Source organism: Homo sapiens, chromosome 6 (genome assembly GCF_000001405.40).
Source record: "Homo sapiens chromosome 6, GRCh38.p14 Primary Assembly".
NCBI classification, from domain to species: Eukaryota; Metazoa; Chordata; class Mammalia; order Primates; family Hominidae; genus Homo; species Homo sapiens.
The window spans coordinates 165,823,869-165,845,648 of NC_000006.12; the positions used below are offsets into that span (position 1 = coordinate 165,823,869).

The window sequence follows — 21,780 nt, forward strand, 5'->3', positions numbered from 1 at the left end:
AAATGTCATTGTATGACATGTGACGGTATTTATGCTTTAAGTATGTATGCATTTCAATATGTCCTAATTCACAGAGGGCAATACTTTTTATTGCTACATAAAAAGGTTTCATTGGTTTGCCTAGTTTAAAAGTCCCAAAGGTTTTGAATTCAGACATGCATGGGTGAAATCTGTGATTCTGCTGCTTAAATGCTGTCTGACCCTTACAAAGTTATTTAATGTCCTGGTGACTCAGTCAAATGCCTCCTCCATGGGAGTGTAGGGATGTGTCATGAGACATCATGCGGAGAGTGCCTGGCACATAGTAGGTGTTTGTAAATCACAGCTGTCTTCACCTGTAATAGATTACGTTCATTAAAACTTGTGTTCACTAAAACTTCTTAATAGCCGTTCAGTTTTCAAAAAAATTATCACATTTAAATTTGATAAAGAAGAAACAAAACAAAAATTCAACAAAAAGTTCAATCCCCAAATATCAGATAGCATGTCGAAATTTTCAATGAGTTTCTGAGTGGGGTATTATGGACTCAAGAAGCTTTTGCTTTGGGCAACAATTATATAATTGCTATGTAACTCATACACTACAAATGGATTTTACTCATAACCTATGTTTACCTCACCATGGTCTTCTTTGTCCTGATCTTCTAATGCTTATTCATCTAATCTATCAAACGTTTATGATCCCAATGAGGCAGAAATCACTTTATTTCAATTTTCACCTTGGAACAAAGAATGTGCTGTTATTTGTGTTTGCAGGTGACAACCTAGCTCACAGACCTTTGTTAACATGGCAGCATCACCAAGGTAGTTGGTGCCATCTTGGTGTTTGTTGGAAAAAGTTTTTCGGCAGCTTCATGTCATGTTTTTCTTTCAGGACAATCTATTGTATATTTCTTATGGAAAAAAAAGCATTTTAATTTCCTTCTCACCCACTGAATCTTTTGAACACTGTTGCATTGTATTTGAAAGGGGTGCATTTGGCTGGGTGCGGTGGCTCATGCCTGTAATCCCAGCACTTTGGGAGGCCGAGGCAGGTGGATCCACCTAAGTTCAAGAGTTTGAGACGAGCCTGGCCAACATGGTGAAACCCCGTCTCTACTAAAAAAAAAAAAAAAAAAAAAATACAAAAAATTAGCTGGGCATGGTGGCAGTCACCTGTAATCTCAGCTACTCGGGAGGCTGAGGCAGAGAACTGCTTGAACCCAGGAGGTGGAGGTTGCAGTGAGCTGAGATCGCACCACTGCACTCCAGCCTGGGCAACAGAAAGACTCCATCTCAAAAAAAAAAAAAAAAAGAAAAAGAAAAAAAAAGAAAGGGGGGCATTTGTTAAAGGGTTTGGGGTGAGCTCCCGTTCCTGATGTGAGCAGGGCTCTGCCTTGCTCAAATTTCCTCACACAAGCCCAGGGGTGTGTCTGGATGAGGAAGCCGAGGCCTGTGGTGGCCAAGTGGGTCTTTTTCATTCCTCATGGCAAAGTGGTTTTTAATTGCACCATAAAGGATGGCGTGATCTGAGGGCCCCGTTAAGTCATCACTCATGCTAGCAGGCCTCAAGCTGTGTGGTCCCCAAACTCCAATTTAGATCCCTGAAATACGGCCCAGCCCTGCTGCGGTTCCTTGACATTTGAGGGAGGAAATCCTAATGCTGAGTGTCCTCCAGCTTGTCCCTTGTGCTGAGTCTACAAAAGGCTCCTGCTGGGCCTCTCCAGCCATCTGGGCGGCCACAAAACAAAGACCAACAAAAGCCAAATGCCCAAAAGTTGGACGGAGGCCCTGGGGAAGAGAGCAAGACTGCAGTTACCCAGCTTCCAAGGAGGTCGGTGCCTGACTCCAGCCATGGCTCCTGTGCCTTGGGAGTCCCCCTGGGGGTTATCTGTCCTTCAGCAGTGGGAGTGGGAGGGCCTGAACCTGCCTCTGCCCACGGCCTATGTGAATCCTCAACCCAAAACTTCCAGGCAGCATCAGCCACTCCCAACTTTCTTTCCATCACTCCTTACCCGGCTTCACCATTTTCTTATGAGGACCTTCCATACAAATTAATGATGAGAAACTCCCTTTTTTTTCTCAGAGATCCTAAAATATTACAGTCATAATTTTGATTAGTAATAGTTTCAAAAGGAAAAGAAGCATTCCAAAAAGTCTTCTCAAGCTCCTGAGACACCCCCTGTGACCTCAGTTCCAGTTCTTTATCACGCCAGGATGGCAGAACAGCTTTCTGTGTCCCAGCCTCAGCTTGGACACTTCCTGCTTTTCTCCTAACCTTGTCTGTGGGATTGTATTTCTTGATCACAGAGTTGACACAATGTCCTTGCCTTTTATTTTCCTCAATAAATCACATCCCTGTAGACTCCAGGTGACCTGGGCCCATAATTGAGGGCAGTGGCAGGATGGCCACGATGGCCCTCTGACTCGATGTCCCTCTGTCCCCATGTCCGTCTTCATGTCCCTCTGTCCCTGCATCCTTCTGTCCCCATGTCCCTGTGTCCCCGTGTCCCTCTGTCCTTGCATCCCTCTGTCCTCATGTCCCTCGTGTCCCCATGTCCCTCTGTCCTGGTATCCCTCTGTCCTTACGTTCCTTTGTCCCTGTGTCTCTCTGTCCCCATGTCCACCTGTCCCCACGTCCCTCTGTCCCTGTGTCCCTCTGTCCCAGTGTTACTCTGCCCCTGTGTCCCTCTGTCCCCGTCTCTCTCTCTCCCACGCTCCCGCCACGCCCCCAGGTATGTACCCACAGCCCAGTCCTTGTGGTTCTGCTGGAACCATAGGGGTGGTGCGGGGGAGGCCGAGGTACCCCCGTGTGTCTGAGCAGGGTCTCCACTGACCAGAGGCACGGTGGGAGCGGGCGCGTGGTACTCTGGTGCATCTGTCATCCAACTTGGCAAACGGAGCTGACATCATGGAGATGTGCGGTTGGGAGGGGGGACGCACAGGGGGAGGCTGGGGGGCAGGGAGGAGAGCCAGGAGGGGTGCTGGGGACACGGAGGGACAGGAGGTGGCACTGAGGGAGGGGCACAGTGAGAGAGAGGACAAAGTGGGTCATGAGGTGGGCGCAGGCGGGATGAGCCCAGGGGGAAGGGGCAGGGAGGTAGGAAGTGGGGACAGAGGGACATCAGGAGGGGCACGGAGGGGACAGGTAAGGGCCAATAACTTGCCTGGGTGACGCCAGCCGCACAGCCTCGGTTGTCCCCTGACCAGGACGTGGCCTGCCGGGTAGGGCACAGGGAATGTCGGGGCCGACCCGGGAGAGCCTGACTTCCTGCGGGCCCTCCGCCGTGGTCTAGACGCTTCCCCTCTTGTGCGCTCAGGTGGAGCGCGGAGGCCAAGCTCAGTCTGACCCAGGAACCACCAGGTCCCCGGCAAAACACAGGGAAGGGTCTAAGCCCTGACGTCCCTCCAGACCCCACGCCCATTCGCGGCTGCCCGCTGGGGAGGTGCAGGGGTGACGCGGGGCGGGGGCACCCGGTGTCCAGCTCGAGACCTGTGCGGGGACAGGAGGTGCCCGGTGACAGCGCCAAGCTCCACCCCGAACTCTCCCAGAAGAACTCCTCCCAGTAATTCCTGGGAATGTGGTGGTCTCTCCAATTCAACAAAACGAACCGAGTATCCTCCTCCCTCACTGCTGCCTCCCGCAAAACGCCAAGGAAACCAAAGCTAAACCCACCTACCTACAGAAACACACCTTACGTGGTTCCAAGTGCACCGGTGTGCTGGTGGTTGTTAAAAATGGAGAGGATGGTACTACTGAACATACATTATGTATTTCAATTCTTGGCTTTAAATCTGTTTTCTTTCTAATGCATTTTTTATTGCAATAGGTTTTTGGGAACAGGTGGTGTTTGGCTACATGAGTAAGTTCTTTAGTGGTGATTTCTGAGATTTTGGTCACCCGTCACCCAAGCAGTGCACGCTGCACCCAATATGTTGTCTTGTATCCCTTGTCCCCCTCCCGCATTTTCCTCTGAGTCCCCAAAGTCCATTGTATCATTCTTACGCCTTTGCATCCTCATAGCTTAGCTCCCACATATAAGTAAGAACATACGATGTTTGGTTTTCCATTCCTGAGTTACTTCACTTAGAATAGTGGTCTCCAATTCCATCCAGGAAGAAAAACCGACTCTTCATTAACTGCTGGCCCCACAGAATCTGTTCTAGACTAGCACAGGAGGGGTAAATGTCATCTCAATGATGCTCAGGCCAGGAGCCTACTCTTGGATTACCCATTTGCAGAAGAAAAATGATCAAAATGAGTACCAAGACGTGGAACCCTAACAAGAGAGAAATAATTCTAGCTAGAGAAAAATGTTGGTTCTAAGGCATAGTTCTTTGTTAATAACAATGGAATTAGAAGTGTGAATTATTCCTGAATATACTAAACACCTACTGTTACAGGCTAGACCTGCAGTAGGTATGAAATATACAGAGAAAAAGAGTAACCTCCTTGCTGAGAAGAATGTCAAAGTCCAGAGGATGAAAAGTATTCAATGCCCATTTGAGAATAAGCTAGGTCTGAAAAATTAGTTGTATTAGCTAGGGGTGTTGGGACAGAAGTGTAAGTAAGTTTAAACAAAAGTGAAATGCAGGTAATGACATAGACATACACATACATAATACAGGTGTACATACATACACACATGAACTTAGACATGTGCTTATTCATGTGTACTCACATATGTGCATTAACTGGGAACAGGAGATGTTAGTATTCCCATTTATGAAGATATTGAAGTTCTGAGGAATGAGGTAAAATTCACAAGGTTGCACAGGTGGATAAGCTGCAGTTTGAAAATTCGATCACAGGCTCCTTAAAGCTGTTCTTTTTTGAGGAGATCTTGCTGAAGCCTGAACTGAAAAATGAGCAGCCGTCACCAGCATCCCAAGGGAAGCAGAGCCCACTGCGGGCAGTGGAGGCCCTGTGCCCCCACCCTAAATGTCCCATCAGAGTTCTGTTCTCTTCCTGCCCTCAAACCTCTCCTGACTTGTTCTTGCCTGGTATGTATTTAACAAAGAAGAAAGCTTTCAGTGTGCAAGAAGAAAAAAAGGCTAATTTAAGGTAACACGGCAGCGTTAATGAAATCAAGCTAGTTAATCAGTAAAGTATTGTAAAAAATAGCATCTATCTTAGATCCTGCCTCCATTCCACTTTGATTGGGCTGGTGCTTATCAGGGGTCACCCTGCAGATGAAGTGTTGGGGTCCCCACCAAAAGAGAAAAGGTACAGAATGAGAAGATGGAGGGTAAGAAATGGCCCCAGCTTCATTCCCAGGCTGCTGGGGTGCTCCCAGTGTCCTTTTGATAGTGGCAGGCCCTAAGGATGCTCTCCAGCGCATCAGAGCCCTTGTGCAGGCCACTCTGCCTCCCTGATATCGCTGCTCCCCCAGTGGAGCTGCCCTGGGCACAGCTGCTGGATTTTCAGATGCCCAGTGCTGAGTCTTCCTCCATTTGTCCCTGGTAACCATTAAGGGGCTCATGATCTCATCGGCCATGCAGTCCCACTATAAGGCAAGCACGGGATACACAGTTAGAACCTTAAAACATTCTGTAGTCCAATCTCTAATGGAAACAATACTGGTAAATCAACCTTAATTGGTTCCAGCAGCAGCCTTGAGAAGCTTTCAGATTCCCTTCCATGAGGATGTACTAAGATGAGGCCCCCATCCTGGGGAGGAGCATGCTTCGCCATCAGGAACCGGGCAGGTGAAATGTGGTGCCTAAAGTGCAGCATGCCACAGCCAGCACCCAGCACCTCTGTGTAAGGGTAAATGGCAGTCCATCCCAGCAAAAGTGATCGGATCTCTCGATAAACTGCCGGTCCCATCTAACCAACAGATCCTACTCTCAAGTTTCCGAACTCTTACTTTTCCCCAATGCTTCCTCTGCTGGCTGACCTGAGCCCTCTCCTGCTGGTATCTGGCATGGAGGAGATGTTTCTCCAGCAAAGGAAAGATGTCCCTTATCAGACACGGCTGGGCTCTCCCCCACCTCTCAGCAGCAGCCTTGCGGCCCCTAACACCAGGGCTGCCAGGGAACAGCACCAGAAGAAAGGTGAGCTGTACTACGTTAGCAGGTACCTACACTCAGGGAAGAAATGTACAACACGGACAACTGTACACAGGCGAAGTTAAATTTAGGGTCTGTGTGGCAGCGGCAATAAACTGAAACTTCAGATAACCCCTCAAATATTCTGGAAATCTTATTGAACAAATGAGTATCAACATGAAGACATGAAGATTCAGTATCTTGCAAGCAATTCTGGGGTCAAAAATGCTGTTTCAAGGTTGGAGGTGAAAAGCAAAACTTATTGACAAGCTACAATGAAAATAGAAGAATCAGTTTGCCTTACTGCTGTATCATTTTCTCCATGAAGTGCCTAGGGGAGGCCTCACAAAGGCGCCTCTGTCCCGCACTGTCTCCAGACAGTCGCTCAGCTACCACCCACCGCTTTCCTTTGCGTGGGAGCTGCGCTACCTAAACACTGGAGAAACAAGCCAAACAGTGACAATCCTCCTCAGTCAATGATGCACTAATATTCTCCTCTAGAATACATTCCAAAGCCAGGCTTGCTGGTCCCTTCCGAAATAACTCAAATGGCTTCCAGCCTCTGCCTCCATATGAGGATCTCGGTGGGGATCTTAGGTGGATTTTAGATTACCGGTTTGCCGCATGTCCAGGAGTGGGGAGCAGCCTGCCCTCCACCCCCACAGGAGCAGTGTGCACACCGGGAGTTACCCACAAGACCAGACGCTGAAACGCTGCATCTTAGGAAGTGGGACCAGGGCCTCCAGGTCCTGTTTGTGTTTATGTCTTGTCCTTCCATGGATTATGAACGGGAGATGTTCTGTCTCCTTTGTGAAGGGACAATCTGAGCACCTAACACCCCTATAAGCAAATAAATGCAGAGGTAATTAAACTTCAATTCTCCCCCATTTCTTGTGCCAATAACACACGCTCTTTCAGAGTCAAACTGATGTGAATGGATAATTCCAACGAAATCCAAAAGCTGATTTTAAAGGTGCTGGAGCTTTAACATCCATGATTGCATCAGACCTAAACAACCAACTCTAAACTTTGAGGAGTCATAGGAAAGCACTTCCACTTTTCTCTGAAAAAACCCCCAGGTGCCAATCATCCTACTGGGAACCACATGACATTTTATCTACATAAGATAGCTTAAAATAACTTTTAAACAGAGTCCTCTCCCTCAACAAAGTCATCCCTCCCTTCTGGTAAGAAAGGATTGCCAGGCCGGGCGCGGTGGCTCAAGCCTGTAATCCCAGCACTTTGGGAGGCTGAGGTGGGTGGCTCACGAGGTCAAGAGATCGAGACCATGGTGAAACCCCGTCTCTACTAAAAATACAAGAAACTAGCCTGGCGTGGTGGTAGGCGCCTGCAGTCCCAGCTACTTGGGAGGCTGAGGCAGGAGAATGGTGTGAACCCAGGAGGTGGAGCTTGCAGTAAGCTGAGGTCGCGCCACTGCACTCCAGCCTGGGCGAGAGAGCGAGACTCTGTCTCAAAAAAAAAAAAAAAAAAAAAAAAAGGATTGCCCAGGATAAGAATTCACACTAAAATTTCCTTTTCATATATAATAACTTTCTGTATTCTGAAAAATTGCAGGAGTCTTTTTTTTTTTTTATTTGAGACGGAGTCTCGCTCTCTCACCCAGGCTGGAGTGCAGTGGCACGATCTCGGCTCACTGCAAGCTCTGCCTCCCGGGTTCACGCCATTCTCCTGCCTCAGCCTCCTGAGTAGCTGGGACTACGGACTACAGGCGCCCGCCACCACGCCCGGCTAATTTTTTGTATTTTTCAGTAGAGACGGGGTTTCACCGTGTTAGCCAGGATGGTCTCGATCTCCTGACCTTGTGATCCACCCACCTCGGCCTCCCAAAGTGCTGGGATTACAGGTGTGAGCCACTGCACCCGGCCGCAGGAATCATTTCCTTAGTAAAAGACTCCACTCTCCCCCCTGCCTTTTTAATACTGTTTTCTTGGATACTTACTAACACTTCATATTCTGCCTTTCTTTTGTGCTTCTCAATTCTCCCCCTTACGTCTTCTACTCCTCCAGATGTCCTATTGTTTTGTTTTTGTGTTTTTACTTAAAGACAAATGCAAACAAACAAAAAAACCACAGAAACCTCCAACTACAAGGCCAACAGGAAGTCAGAAGAGACATCAAAGGACTGTTACAATGAGACATCATGGAAGTTACAAAAGTGAATGTATTTTTCAGTATCTTTAGTTTACACCCTAGGAAAGTCTCTAGTATTTTGTTTTAGAATATATGTATACATATAAATATTTTATATATAACTTATATGTATGTTTAAAGTCCAAATGGAAAATACTTAGTTCCTGTCACAAGCAACTGCAGCTTCCTCGGTGGGAGACAGAAGTGGTGGTGGGAGGCGGAGAGGAACGTTCTGGAGGAAGGAACGAAACAGCCGCTCTCATTCAACCGCTTAATTTAACCTAAGAGGAAACTTTGACTCCAAGAGGTTAACTACCTTGTCGAAGTTTATAAAGTAGATGATTTATGGAGCTGGACTTAGAATCCTGATTTAAAAAAAAAAATTGGTGTGTGTTTTTCTTTTACTTAGGATTTTTGGAAGCACATTGAGTGGGGACCTCATTTTAGACAGAATGGAAGCACATTTGTCAGGAGGGCACTTCTGCTCCTCTGGGCCTCTGGCTTCTCAGCCAACCCCAGGAACCCAGCTTCGAGCTCCGCTGCCTTCTCCGTGGCCCTAAACAACCCGCAGTATCAGCGTTCCCACCCACTCTTCATCAAAGCCGTTTCCTCGGTGTGGATGAGCCCAGCTAGGAAACAGGAACAAAGTTTTAAAAATGTCACTGGCAATGACTGATACACTTAATTCTGGTTAAGGTGGGAAGTTTACATTTCAAGAGGCTTTTCTGGGTTTGACAGAGTTTAATTGGCAGAATGTGTTGGAGACATTTTGTGGTGAGAAAACACGGTCTTCACCCCTCACATATTCCGGGTTAACTCCTCCCTGCAGAATTTAAATTCACAATACTGAGGTTGGCGAGGACTCTTTCATAAGGCACGATACCAGCCCTGCCTGGTCCATGTCTAATGTCAGAGTGAGGGTGCCATGTACCCATCACCTGTGTGAGCTATTCTGAGCTGGAAAAACAATTAACACCATCAAGAATCGTAACCGATTCGAATAATCTGCTCATTCTTATTTTTACAGTCCTATAACATCTTTATTCTCCTATTTGGTTATAGGATTTTCAGTTTATAAAATGACATTCATGGATGTCCCTGTGGCTTCTCTTCTCAGGACACTACACAATGAAATTCAAGTGATCTTTGAAAGAAATACAGGAGGTTTTTTTCTCTTTATTGTATGGCGTTCAGAGGTCCTTGACAAGGAGCTAGAGGCAATTTGTCCAGCCTCAATTATGATTCACCAGCCTGGATAAACTGTAATATACAAACGTGAACACATTTATCTTCATTAAGTCCCTACTGTTCTAGGTGTAGTGAGGTGGGAAGGCTAATCTCATACCCTGGGTGGGAAATACAGAGAGGACGCAGAGGAGGCACCTGCCCTTTGCAGGCATGGAAGACAATGGACCCTTCCAGGGCCTCAGGCAAAGAACTTCTCCCAGGTGCTGGATTCAGCAAGAAGTGACACCACCTGTGCATGCCCCAGGGCGTAGCAGGCAGCCAGCTGAGGGCTGGAGGAGCAGGCAGTGCCCCAGAGCCCATCAAGCAGTTCCTTCAGCATGAGGGGGGCCCAAGTTCCTGGAGGGAGCAGCTGCTCTGCCAACCAGGCTGAGCACAGCCAGGGGCAGCAATTCTTCTCGAGATGTTCTTGTCCCATTTGATCATGCACACCTGGATTGGCAATGGCAGGAAAGACCAGCCCTGGGAAGGTTCTGACTTCCATTCCAGGTAAGAGTTGATAAAGATCAGGTAGGAAAGGTGCAGGCATGAGATGAAGGTGGTCCCAAAGCAGGAGCTGAAGTCACGTGGAGGAAATGCCATCAGCCAAAAGGTCTAGCCGAGACCTGATTCCAATGTCTTCCTGCTAAGATCAGGTAATTCACAGCAGTCTGCCTAGAACACAGTCTCTGGAGACCTAGTCATGTGAGTGCCCCCAGCAGCACATACTAGAGAGGACAATGTAGCCACTGGAGTGACTGAATAGATAAGGAATAAGTGCTTTGTCCCACTTGCGAGGGGCTCACGGAGGGTGAGCTGGAAGGAGCTTAGGGACTTCATATGTAGGTGTGGCAACACCTGGGACCACATGGAGCCCTCCCCAGTTACCCAGGCAGAACACCTGCCCTGCAGACTCCTCAACCAGTTGGGGCCAGGTACCCAGGTGACACTCAGGTCCAGAAATGCAGTGGGACTCACCAGATGCTGGGTAGACTAACAATCACTGTTTGTATTGCCAGGACTGGAAGCCACACTTTCCAAACTGGCAGTCCCAGCCCTTTCTACTCTACACAGCACCCCTGAAGCAAGCACAGAGGAGAAATCTAAGTCTGTGCAGCCTGGGGGTGACGCTGGCTAGTGGCCGGGTGGCTGAGCTGGTGCCCCTGTCTTTTGTATCCTTCCCGCCTGGGAGTGGGGGGAGTGAGACGATCAGAGCCCAGGTGTGTTCAGTTTAGTGGAACAAACATTTCAAATGGTGAAGAGCAGCAGGGGCTTGGAAGGCACAGATCTGGAATCCCAGCTCAACTTCTTTTCACAAGCCACAGGACCAAGAGCAACTATTTGCCTTGCTCTGCCACAAAACTTCTCCTCAGCACAATGGATCCCTCCCCTATTCAGCACCACGTGGCTGGTCTTGGCTCTGTTCTGGAGGCAGCGACTCCAGGTGAACAAGAGTGGCTGCCATCCAGAGACTCACATCTAGACAGAGACAGAGTCAACAGGGGATGTTTGAAGAGTGGCCAGGCATTGTGCCAGCTGGCAGGGAAGGCAGCCACGTGGAGCCATGACAAGTACCAGTTCCTACAAACTCCTACGGCAGAGCTGGGGATGCAGAAGTGAGAGGAGTTAGCTTCCTTCGGCTCAGTGCACCAGCAGGGTTAGGAGCCAGGGCTCCAGGTGGAGAGGCCTAGCCAGGGCTTGGGAGCTCAGGGGCCAGGGGTGTTGGCAGATGCTGACCAAGTCAGAGTCCAGCTTTTCGGAGCACGTGTGGGCTGCAGAAGTCATTCAGCGGGAGGCAGTGCACAGAGGGCAGTTGGCGAGGACACAGTGCAGAGAGAGGTGGGGAAGGGCCGTCCTCGGATGTGTCAGAAACTGCAGGTCATCACAAGGCTGGATCCTGATGGGTAACTCCCATACCTCCAGCCCCAGAGACCTGCAATTTATGATATTTTAACAATGATAAAATTGAGGCTTTGAAACAAATTTATTTTTCTTTGCTCCTGCCTCACTTTCTCACTCAAATGTCTTGGGATATTCCTTTATACGGATGGGCTTTGGCAGATGTGCCATCCCAGGCTGCCCTGGGCCCATTCCGCTGGTCACTGTCCAACAATTTTCCTTTATATCCTGATCTTTCTCCCTCAGGCCACTGGCATCCAGGGTGCATTCTGCTCCTGAGGCCAAGGCGAGGACAGCACTGCCCACGCCTCCTGTGCTCGCCAGCTCTGCTGCACGAGCTTCCTTCCTCCCTGCTGGTCTAAGCTCGTGGACGCCCACAGAGCCCCCAGGGAAGCCTCCTTGTAGGATTGGGGCTGATGTCTCACAGCCCTTCCAGGGAGGGCTTTGCAGTTGGGGCAGTTTCCTTACACCCTGTTTCCGGGGTTGGTGTGAGAGGACCCTGCAGGGCTGAGAGACCGGAGCTCCCGCCAATGCACCTGGAGAACAGGGAGTCCCTGGAGCTGGGCTCCAGCTCAGAACGGCCTTGGCACAGCCAGCAGCGTACAGGAGGAGGGGGAGCGTTTCCTAGGGCAGGCACGGGCTGAGCAGGACCCAGGAAGGGCAAAGCCAGGCAGAGTAAGTTGAGCCACGATAAATTATCATTTTTGTGGGTCAGAAAGTCTTCCAGTATTAGCAGTTTGCTCTAGTTCAGCCTCGCCCCACGCTGTCTCCCCTCTTTGGACAAGCTGCTGTCTCCCAGCTGAACTTGTCTTCTTCTGAAGCATGGCCTTCTATCGGGGAAAACATCAATCTTGTCACAGTGCTCAAACATTTTGCCCAATCTAAAACGCTTTCGCTGTTTTCTCTGCCTGTCCAAAGCCTCCGTCTTCTGAGCTGGTAGGAGCCAAGTTTCCTGGCGAGCCATGGGTGCTCTGTGCTTGCTGTCATTGTTGTGACTGGTGAGAAGCAAGACTCAGAGGGGACTGTAGATCGTCCAAGGCTACACCAGACCTCTTCCGACCATGTCACAACCCTACACACGAGTCTCATTGAACAAATAACTATTTTCTGAAACATTTGAGGGTACTTCTACCTTTCTTCCGAGTGACAAGAGTCTAGCGCCCACTATGTTCGTTTTGAAAAGTTCTGACCGGCGCACGTCGGCACAGCCCCTCTTAGGGGTCTTTCTGAGCTGCTAACCCCATGGGGCAAGCCCTTCGGCCTCCATGACTATCTGCAGATACTCCAGCGGTCAGGCAGCTCTTCTATTCCAAACAACATGCTCTTTCTGCTTCTGATTAAGTCTTACAATATTGATTACTTTATAATTAGTCACATGCTAGCATTTATCTATGTACCAGGTTGTCTTCCAGATGGGTCATTCAGAGAATCCTGCCTCGGGGCAGTGACCTCTGCGGTCAGTGATATCTGGGGACCAAGCTGAGAAATGACAGGTTCAGATTGGCTTAGCCCTCAAGGGCACACTGTCCTCCTGGAGCTGAAAGTGGGGGGTCAGAAGGGGAATAGGAAAACTCACCTCCCATGGTACCTCTGAATTCCCCCAAAGCTTAAGAGTAATTCCAACCCAAATGTCCAACAATGATAGACTGGATTAAGAAAATGTGGCACATATACACCAAGGAATACTATGCAGCCATAAAAAATGATGAGTTCATGTCGTTTGTAGGGACATGGATGAAATTGGAAATCATCATTCTCAGTAAACTATCGCAAGAACAAAAAAACCAAACACCGCGTATTCTCACTCACAGGTGGGAATTGAACAATGAGATCACATGGACACAGGAAGGGGAACATCACACTCTGGGGACTGTTGTGGGGTGGGGGGAGGGGGGAGGGATAGCACTGGGAGATATACCTAATGCTAGATGACGAGTTAGTGGGTGCAGCACACCAGCATGGCACATGTATACATATGTAACTAACCTGCACATTGTGCACATGTACCCTAAAACTTAAAGTATAATAAAAAAAAAAGAGTAATACAAACTCCAAATCAGGAAATTAGAGGCCCAGAGAAATGAAATACTGTAAGAAAGAACAAGATTATAATGCTAACTAAGAACATAACTAACATGCTTCAAGCTGCAATTCTGAGACAACATTATTGGTATAGCCATGTATGGCCGCAGAGTTAAAATCGTCTATTCTTTCCTCTGTAAGTTTTTTTTCCCTTTTCATTTATTAATTTTCTTCCTTTCTCTGCTTTCAAACATTCCTTTACCTGCTGCATCATAAACTATGTTGGCTCTATGTTTAATCTTTTGCCCATGTTTTTAGCTTAAAAATGTAAGTAAACATTTGCTGCCAGAGGTTCTTTTAGAAAAAATGGATTCATCTAGGTTACACCTCACTAATTGTGAATGATGTTTAACTCAAGGAGTCCTAAGTTCCTCCAAGTAATCTGCTGATTTATATCTCTCCTGGTTTTTTTTTTTTTTTTTTTTTTTTTTGGGGCAGGAGGCGGTGGGAGAACAGAGTCTCACTCCGTCGCCCAGGCTGGAGTGCAGCGGCACAATCTCGGCTCACTGCAAGCTCCGCCTCCCAGGTTCATGCCATTCTCCTGCCTCAGCCTCCTGAGTAGCTGGGACTACAGGCGCCCGCCACCACACCCGGCTAATTTTTTGTATTTTTAGTAGAGACAGGGTTTCACCGTGTTAGCCAGGATGGTCTCGATCTCCTGACCTCGTGATCCGCCTGCCTCGGCCTCCCAAAGTGCTGGGGTTACAGGCGTGAGCCACCTATATCTCTCCTGTTTTTAAAAGCAGTGCCTTGCTAGTAACTCAGGAAAGAGAGGAAGTTAGAGAACTAGAAACGTACAAGCTTCCTTCTGCCCGTGAACTAGAAAGGCGAGCAAATGATGTAAACCTACTGTAATTGTAGGGTTTGAGTAACATTATAAAACAATTCCGTTCCCTTCCCACAATTTATAACATCTCGTAAACCCTTTGGGGAAATAACTTTTCACTTTAAAATCATACCATCCCATTCACCATTTCCTGTAGTTACTGAAAAGCCCACATTAATGGAATGCCTTTTGGCCAAAACAAAGTGAAGCCGGGAAATAATACATATAAACTAGGGTTTTCTAAGATTTTTTTGACCTTTGTTTTTCTTTATGTAAGACAAATTCAGGGTTTTTATTGACATAATATTTTTCCACTTTTTAAAAATTGAGATATAATTTACAAGCCACAAAATTTACCCTTTAAAATGTACAATCCAGTGGTTTTTAGTATATTTTCAAGATTGTGCAACCATAACCACTATCTACTTCCAAAACATTTCCATCAGCTCCAAAAGAAATTCCGTACTCATTTTCAGCCACTCCCCATTTCTCCTCCCCCAGCCCTGAGCAGCCACTACTTTCAAGACAATTTGTTTTAATTTGGTAAGTATTTCTTCAGGGAATATTTTTGTTGCATTGGATGGGAGGGTTTAGAAGACCTGAGCTCTAATTAATTCCAGCTGTGACTTCCTACCTGCGAGATCTCAGGCAAATCACTGAAACTTTTTCTTCTTCTCTCCTCATCTGCAAATGACGAATGTCAAAGGGCAGAATGTCTGCTATCTGCTCCATTCCATCCAGGGTTTCCAAAGTCTAGACTGGCAACTGGCACTACCTGTGATCTGAAGGCCAGCCTCCCTCTGCCCTTGTCCATTTTCTGGGCCTGGTTTCCAGGACGTTCCATGATACTGTCAGCTAGCTGAGTTGGTTTCTATGATTTGCAATCAGGAACCGTGACTGGTGTATGGAATGAATGAAAATATATGACATTTGTGGCTGTCCATGGATTTTCTGGGTTAGTAATCCTTTCCTGGTTTGATAGGACTAGTTCAATGAAAGGAATATTTCTAAAAAGTCCAGAAACTCTTTTTCTGTACGCCAAACTCTATCACTAACTTACTAATGTGACCCTGAATGAGTCATTTTGACACCCACCTTCCTCACAAGGGTGTTGATAGAATTGATGAGTTAATATTCAAAAGTACTTTACGCTTTAAATAGTGTCTTTCAGCAGAGGTGCTCAAAGAATTATAATCACTACAGCTGCACAATAAATTATAAAGCGATTCCTTAAGAACTATCATATTTATCTCAAACTTTTAATGAGAAATTGACTACAGTTGTAAATTTTCCCTTCAACAAGTGGTCAAGATGTTTAAGAAATTGGTAAAAAGAAACTTACATTAAAATGTAAATTAGATTTCTTTTTTTCCCAATTCTATTCCCAATAGATTGACTGACCACACAACATATTTACAACTTCTGGAGAGTTCCAGTCCCCAATTCCTATGGAGAAACAATTCCGAAAGATGAGAGTGCTCTCTACGTAAGTCCACAGTGGGAATTGAAATAGCTTCCTCAGCCTGGTTCAAGGGCTCTCTCTATTTCTCTAAATTGCTCCATCCTCATCACTGCCATCCCCATTTCCATCCTGATGTCCGTGTCCATCTCCATCCCCATCTCTATCTTCATCCTCATCTCCATCTCAAACCTCATCTTCATTCTTATCATCTTCATCCCTGTCTCCATCCCCATCTGCATCTGTCTCCATCCCCATCCCCTTCTCCAGCTCCATCCCCATCTCCAATCTCGTCTCCATTCTTATCATCTCCATCCCTGTCTCCATTCCCATCTGCACCTCTGTCTCCATCCCCATTCCCATCTCCAACTCCATCCCCAACCTCATCTCCATTCTTATCTTCATTTCCATCCCCATCTACATCTCTGTCTTCATCCCCATCCCCATCTCCAACTCCATCCCATCTCCATCCTCATCTGCATCCATTCCCATTCCCATCTCCATCTCCATGTCCATCTCCATCTTCATCTCCATCCCCACCTTCATCCCCATCCCCATTCCCATCTCCACCTTCATCCCCATCTCTCTCTATCCCCATGCTCATCTCAATTTCCATCTTAATCTTCATCCCAATTTCCATCCTCATCTTTATCCCATCCCCATCCCCACCTCCACCCTTATCTACATGCCTGTCTTCATCCCCAGCTCCATCCTTATCTCCCTCACACAGGTACCTGCAATCAGTCCAGGCAAACTGGAGCGGGTTTCCTTGTCTTGAGCTTAGAAACTACCTCTTAGCAACAAGAGCATTGGAGATCATGCATTTTTAATTTTACTTAGCAAGAATTTCCTTTTGCTCCATTCTAGAGCTGATCCATTTTTCCCTAAAATGTTGCTTACTTGCCCTTTCCTCAGCAATCACTTGTAGTCATTACCATATAAGAAAAAGCAGATGTCCCCTTAAGAACAGCAGTTGCACATGACTGGGCACTTGAAGGCGCTGGCTCACCTCACAAATTACACCACCTCCCAAGCTACCAAAACTGCAGGAGATGAATGTGGGAAGACTCAGAGAAGCTCTGTGTGTCTTCAAGGTGCACACTTGCCGTTCTAGCATACTGTAGGACACAGCACTCGAAATGGTTACCTTGACTCTCCATTTCTATTGATATAGGAATTTTAACACACTCTTATTTTTTGTCTACTTTTTAGTAAAAGATAAAGTAAAGGACCAACATACTAATATATTACATGCAATATAAATGTGCACTAAAATTAGAAATATAAGTGTAATATAAAAATAACTGTTCAGAGATATTCTCAGATTTTCTTTTCACTCCCCAGCAAGGGTCCGTGAACATGCCTGGGGGCTCAGCACCCCATTTTGGGGATGGCCCTTCTAGAACTTAATTTGGAAATTATCTGTCTACATTGTCTCTTAATAGAGGATTCAAATGTCAGTTATTTTTAACTGAATTTAAAACCAACAGGTTTTATTCACCTTTGTTGACAAGCTCTCAGCATGGTACTTTGTCCATAATAGGTGTCAGTCAATTAATTTAATTTAAGGACTTTGAATGGTCGTCTCTTCAATTTACTTTTGACTTTCAATCTACTTTTGGAGTGTCATCATTGCAAAACCCAGTTTAATCTTGTTTGTCTAGCTCACTGGTGAAAATCGATACATTGATTCAGGGCAGAGGTGAGAACAGGGCAGGCCCTCCCAAAAGCACCTTCTCCTGCTGGGTACCCACTTCGCCACACCAAAGTTTATGGACCCATTGTTCCCAGATGGCTCCAAAGGGCCCATGGAGATCGGCCCTGTGGCCTTTGCTGACCAGGGTGGGTTTTTCTCGCTTGCTGGCTTCTTGGTGTGGATGTTGCAGTTGGGGCCAGCTTGGGCATGCAGCCGCCTCCTTCGCTGTCTCCCAGCGCACACACCATTGCTGGCTCTGAGCAGTGGGCGCTTAACGTTAGCTCCAGCTCTGTGAGAAAGCAACAGCTGCTTGCTCTCTCAACAGTTAAAACAGTTTGATGTGGAGGCTGTGTCTCCCATCCCGGGGGTTCAAAACAACCCTAACCTTAAGTCGTCACTGTGGTTGGTGGGCACTTGCTAGTGTCATCCTGGCTCTGGGGTGGAGGAAAAAGACCCCATGGGGGAGAAGTCCACTGTGACAGTGCTTCTCGGCCTAAGAAAGCTACATATGTCTTGCACAAGAGGAAGAGGACAGCTCTGGAATAAATGAGTGACTTCGTGCTCAAAGACTGCTCTCTAGCTTCTCTGGGTGAAGATTTTAATGGCCAGAGCAGAGTGGGGCTTCAGTTATCTCAACTATGAATATGACGTAAATTATGCCAGGAGCTTTTCATTTTTATTGTGATTTTTGCTCAACCTGAACTGCTAAGTAATATTGCTGTTTCCCAACACTCCCCGCTTCTGCAGAGCTCCTTTAGAAAAAAACTCTGATAGAATACAAAAAAGGAAAAATACATATGTACAAGTTGGAAAAAGGTTTTATAGATGTACCTAACCAGGCGAATTGTGTAATATAACCATGGTTCTTCCCCCTAAAATTATGTATACTTGATAGCTTAACCTAAACAAAATCTTAATGGGTTTGTCTTTGACATATTAAAAACTTGAAAGATAATGTTATACATTTTTTTTTAATGTTAAGATTGTCATGATCAATCAACCAGACAAAAGCCGGGTAATTCAGAGCTACAGATAACAGCGTTGATCTCTCTAGTTTCATCCAGGCTGGTGATATACCTGCATGACTTCCATTAAATAAGCCACTTAGTGCCACAAATGTACCCATTAGAGTCCCTCAACAGTTCTGTAATTACTGTTATACGGAGCTTGGCAGTTAGGCCTTTGCATATGCTAAAGAAACGTAGGCATTCATATTTAAATCCAGCTCCCTTGCATGCTGCAGCAGCCCAGCACCCACTGACTGTAACTTTTCAAGTGAGTTAAATGAGTAACAGAGAGCGAATGCAAGCTCACTTTGGAAATTCATCCAGGCCTCCTCCTCGAAGGGAGTATGGGACTGTTGATGCTTTCCATGCTCGTTTTAGTGATGTTTGCTGCAATACATCAGCGTTTATTGTGGGCCAAGGACGGTCATAAGCACTGTGCCCAGACCATGTCCTTTTTATCCTCATCACTATCTCACCCAGCACAGAGAGGTGAAGTAACTTGCCGATAGTCACACAGCAAGTTAGTGGTGGAAGAGGCAAGAGTCATGCCTCCGAAGTTACAGACTACACCTTGCAGTTAAAACGGACTTGGAATGAGAGCATCCCCCTTCTCTGGCTCCTGCCCTGACCCTGAGTTAGCCTCGGACTAACCTCGCACAGTTTATTCCACTTCCTCAATAAAACTGGAATCACAACATCTGCCTTGTCTACCTGAAAGTGCTGTGAAGATTAGAGAGAGCTTTGAAAATTAAGATCTGACACACAAATGTGGGTTGTTCTTAGAGGTGAAGAAGGCCGTAGCACAAATACACTGTGAGGCCCCGCTGTGCTCAGCCCACCTGACAGCGTAGGGTCAGCCAGCGCCCAGCCCCTGAGAAGGAAGTGACTTTGAGCAAGGGTGAGAAGACCAGGTCCCAGGTCCCGTCTAAGGCTACAAGCCATGGTGTTGGGTGAGTGCAAAGGACTGCACAGCAACAGAATCTGGGGTGTGAAGATGCCTTATAGGCTCGCAAGGTGGCCCTGAAAAGGTGGAGTGGATTCTGGACAGAGTGGAAGCGCAGCAGAGGGCATCCCAGAGCAGACACACACACAGGCATGCACCAGCCTCCCCAAGTGCAGGAGCCAAGTTCCCTTCAGGAAGAGGGAGTGGCTTAGTCCATCACCTCGGCTACAACAATCTACCCTAGGCTCGGTAATTTATAAACAACAGAAATGTATTGCTGACAGTTCTGGAGTCCACAAGTCCAAGAGCAGGGCCCCTGCCTGTCTGATGAGGGCCTGTTCCTCATAAATGAGGCCTGCTGGCTGCGTCCTCAATGGTAGAAGGGACGGACAGGCTCCCTGAAGCCTCCTTTCCACGGACACCCACCCCATCCCTGAGGGCAGAGCCCCCATGCCTTCATCACCCCGCCAAGGCCCACCTCTTCCTATCACCACAATGGGGACTGGGTTTCAACATGAATTTGGGGGACACATTCAGGCCACAGCAGAGAGGGGAATGTTGGCGCGACAGGTGCAGAGAAAATAAACCCATACTAGAGAGGGAAGCCTGAGCCTATCCCGGAGGGGCAGGGCAGTCACTGAAGGTTTTATCTGAGGAGCAAAGGCTCAAGTCGGTGCCTAAAGAGAGACCTGTGTGGGTGGCACTGAGCTAACCTGAGAGCCTGAAGCCCACACCTGGAGCAGCAGGAGCACCTCTGGCAGAGGCAGCTCTGACCCCACCTTAGCAGACAGGCCTCCAGAGCACGGCACAGGTTCCGAAATGAAGACCATTGTGTGAGAAGGGACGAGTCTGGAGCTGCCTCCCAAAGGAGGCAGGTGTGGGGTACCTCGCAGGTGAGATGTATTTTGGAAAAGGGGACCAAGCCAACTTTTGTTTTAGTGTGAGATTTTCTGAAACTATCATCCCCCTGGAGGAGGGTACAAGCCCATTTGTCCCTGGGGCTGGAGCACTGCAGGGGGCCATGGTTTGGGCTGTAGAGTTGGAAGTCATTCTCATCAAGGTCACTATTAAGGTCAGAGGGCCTCAGAATATTGAAAAGAGGAGAAGCAGAACCGAGGACAGAGGAAAGCTGACCTGTTCCGTGTCCAGATTCAAGTTCTGTAAGCACACTCACAGCGAGCCTTTCTCATGAAAACTTATCTCGAAGGCTTCAGAGAAAAGTGTGTTGCATAATATGCAAATTGATAATTGGTGAAATTTAATAGGGAGCACCTAAGGTGTTCTAAGTCACTCCAGTCTCTGTTTTCGAAAATGAACAGGCAGTACTTAACACCCTCTAATTGAACCTGAGTTTGGAAATATCTTATGAGTTACTGTAATTCTAGAATGTTAAGTTCTTTATATAAAAGTTAACTTAAAAGTTCAATATGTTTTAAAACCCCAAGTCGGAATAGAAATAGTTTTTAAGCCTTATTCATTTTGACCTAATAAACTTTATCCTATTTTCACTATTTTTCCCGATGCTTATTTTTACTCTTTAATCATAATTTAAGGAGGTTGAAAAGAATTATATTAAAGAAATAACAGCATGATAATACCAGCATCATTGGGTAGAGGAAGAAGTCCTAATCTTCAGTACAAACCCTGCCTGGGAGCTGGTTAAAATAATAATTCATAGGTCCCTGCCTGTCTGTGTTGTGACCAAGTAGCTCCTTTCAAAAGAAACACAAAAGGCGATTCTTATTAACCCTTGGACACACTTTTTGACAGACTGCTGTATATTCTCAGCTTTGTATTTATGGAAGTATCTGCCATTATGCTTATTAGCATCAAGGGAGCTTATTTAAGAGCTCTATAAAGAAGCGATATAATTCTGAACATAAAAACTTCTGCTGATTTAAAGCGTTCTTATTGTTTACTTGATGGGCTATGAGAGCTGATGGTCATTGCATTATGCTGGAAACAAAGCTCCTTTCTGAGATCAGGGCATGTGTGTGATGAAAAACGGTTTCAATGTTACAGGGTCTGATCCACCAAGCTTCCAGTGAACTCCAGACATGAAAGTGGGAGTCACAGATTTAAAATTCATGTGATGTGGGGTTAGCAACAAATGTTTTTACTTAAAAAATTATCACAAATGGCAATCTAACTGAATAGAAAGGAAAAAAATAGCATCCTTACATGTTTTTCTACAATTTACACCAAAATGTCGAAGGTCAAGGTTATGATGGCTGCGTTCATGCAATTCTAAATGAGAGCAGTTCACAGGACAGAACTCCACAAACCACATTCTCAGGGGAAAAGAAGGTAAAATTTGAGCAAAAGTGAGAAAGAATTGAGAGGAAAACCCACTTATGTGGGAAAACAGTGCTAGTGCTAATCAGTTCTGTTGGAATCTAGAGGATATGTTGAAACAGCTACGGTCAGGCCAAAGAGAGTGGTGTTTCTCCTTTAAGCATAAAG

The 21,780-nt window shown here is 46.6% G+C and overlaps 1 protein-coding gene across 3 annotated transcripts in view, besides 2 other annotated features; it reads right to left on the minus strand.

Annotated features, from left to right (window-relative positions):
- PDE10A (phosphodiesterase 10A) overlaps positions 1-21,780 on the minus strand; it is a 660,764-nt gene that overhangs the window by 496,580 nt on the left and 142,404 nt on the right. The gene's annotated exons all lie outside the window — the stretch shown is intronic.
- Positions 18,248-19,228: an enhancer, noted in NCBI's record as "OCT4-NANOG-H3K4me1 hESC enhancer chr6:166255604-166256584 (GRCh37/hg19 assembly coordinates)". NCBI's record gives its function as "activates a minimal SCP1, AML or CMV promoter by ChIP-STARR-seq in naive and primed H9 embryonic stem cells {active_cell/tissue: H9 hESC(naive and primed)}" and the evidence as "EXISTENCE:reporter gene assay evidence [ECO:0000049][PMID:30033119]".
- Positions 19,229-20,208: an enhancer, noted in NCBI's record as "H3K4me1 hESC enhancer chr6:166256585-166257564 (GRCh37/hg19 assembly coordinates)". NCBI's record gives its function as "activates a minimal SCP1, AML or CMV promoter by ChIP-STARR-seq in primed H9 embryonic stem cells {active_cell/tissue: H9 hESC(primed)}" and the evidence as "EXISTENCE:reporter gene assay evidence [ECO:0000049][PMID:30033119]".